Source organism: Homo sapiens, chromosome 6 (genome assembly GCF_000001405.40).
Source record: "Homo sapiens chromosome 6, GRCh38.p14 Primary Assembly".
NCBI classification, from domain to species: domain Eukaryota; kingdom Metazoa; phylum Chordata; class Mammalia; order Primates; family Hominidae; genus Homo; species Homo sapiens.
The window spans coordinates 91,156,328-91,158,539 of NC_000006.12; the positions used below are offsets into that span (position 1 = coordinate 91,156,328).

At 32.3% G+C, this 2,212-nt stretch overlaps 1 annotated feature.

Annotated features, from left to right (window-relative positions):
• Positions 1,280–1,808: an enhancer, noted in NCBI's record as "NANOG hESC enhancer chr6:91867325-91867853 (GRCh37/hg19 assembly coordinates)". NCBI's record gives its function as "activates a minimal SCP1, AML or CMV promoter by ChIP-STARR-seq in naive H9 embryonic stem cells {active_cell/tissue: H9 hESC(naive)}" and the evidence as "EXISTENCE:reporter gene assay evidence [ECO:0000049][PMID:30033119]".

The following is a 2,212-nucleotide window of genomic DNA, read 5'->3' on the forward strand; positions in this document are numbered from 1 at the left end:
CTGGTCCCAGATGAAACTCCAGAATACCATAACATTTAGAATAGCCTAATATATAGCAATGACTTTTAAATTTGGTGATAGAAGATGACTTGTAATTAAATATCAGTGACTGCTTTTACATAAAATATTTGCATACTTTTTTCCTGATGGTTTCTTTTTGCAAATATCTAGAACCCTTGGCTTGAATGATGACTTTCATGTTAGAATTGATATCTTTGGGGTTTCTCTGAATATAACTGGGCACATTTTAGACGTACAACACTTATTTGTTAAATTACATTGAATAACATTTGAAATTATATCGTTTACTTGGCTTAAACCCTTGGACTTTCAAGGAACAGATTACTGTAACTCAGCAATGTTTTAGCTACAAAATAAGAAGTGTGCAGCCTGAACACAGTTGCTGTCTTTTTATTATTTCTCATTTTGATACATTTCTTATGCTGTTGGCTATTTTATTAGTACCCCCTGTTGCAAAATATTTTTCTTTAGCGTTGTATCTTAATAACCATCAAGGTGGCTTACCCAGGGTTTTCTAATGCTCAGCACGCCCAGGAATTGTAATATGGTAAATGTCATGTGGGCAAAGTGATTGCGTTTAAAAAAAAATCTGTCAGTGACTGCATTTTTTTCCTGTTATTTAGGCATATTGATAATATATAGACAGCCTCCTTTAGGAAATATGTCATGATTTTTGATGTATCTTTTCTTATCGATTATAACTTAGAATTTTTTAAAAAGTCCTTTAAAAAATCCATATCTAAATTTGGAAGGCCGAGTTTTGTAATTTCAAACACATTACTCCATTTTTAGAAGTGCCTTGTTTGATTAAGCTCATTAGCTTGGGTATATGGGCAAAAGCCATTGCAACTAAATTAATTTTGTATAAAACAATTGTTGTTTCTTATCAGCTTCTCTTTCAATGTGTTCTTCTAAGTGAATATTTTACGTGGGAACAAATACAAACACAGTTTTTATCATCTTGTGACGTGTAAAGGATGATAGACTATATGTTTCCAATATAACTTTTATTTATACAACCATTATTTACACAATGTGTGGTTATATTTATTATTTATTGTTTTCACCACCCCTCATTCCTCAAAAGCTTAGAAACAGCTTACAATAATATATACAATGATATGTGATGCATATACTTTGGAAAATTCATTAAGAATCTGCCAAATTAATTCAATACTGATAAATGTTGTAAAGATAATAAATGCCTGTTATTATTTTGAGCTTTTAGGTCACTGTCCATCATATATATATATATATATATATATATATATATATATATATATATATATATATTGCACTGAATACGAAATCATAGTGGCAGACCTCTTGGCTTACAAATGGCTAATTATATTCATTTCCTGATTATACTTGGGGGAGTCATTGCTGATTATCTTCTGCAAATCTTGCTTTGTGAGTTCTATTGACATTCAAACAGAATGGGCTATAAAGTCATTTGTGGTTATTACTCAACACCTTTTGTCTAATTTCCCTTCCCCATGTAGCCTATCACCCAGCAGGAGATCTTTCATGTCAAAGTACTTAATTACCTCGCCCGAATCAGTGAAGGTTAAAAACAATACAAAACAACCAAACAAAACAATACAAAAAACAAATATGGCATATTTATATAGCTTTTTTACCCTGATTCATAATTTGCTTTTACATGTTTGACTGGAGGCTAATTTCAGAGCTCAGTGGAAGTCAAAGAAGCTGTCTCGAAGGCAAGGCAAATCTAAGATATTACCACCTGTCTTGTTCTTGGAGCCCTGCCCTGTTGGGAGGTCAGGAGACCATGAATTGGGAAAGAAAGATGCTATGTCTGCCACATGTTTTATGAAACAGTGGTGTGTGTGAAGGTACTCATGTTTATGTATACGTTAAAGAGAGCAAACATCTTATTTGTGTATGTATGGATATGTGCATTGTATGTAAGTTTGTATGCATACGTGAAAATAAATAAAATACAAATAAAATAATTCAATTAAATGCAATCTGTGTCCTCTGTGGGCAAATAATGAAGACTTACACCGTCTTATATTTTTACCCACTATATAATGCTGTGTCTTTGTAGATCTAGAGCAGATAAAGCCCACTGGATAGGTATAAATCTTTATTCCCCAATACCAGAACATTTTTCCTCAAATGAATTCTATTTTTTTTCCTTGCAGCTGTGAAGCTTTTCTGGATAAGG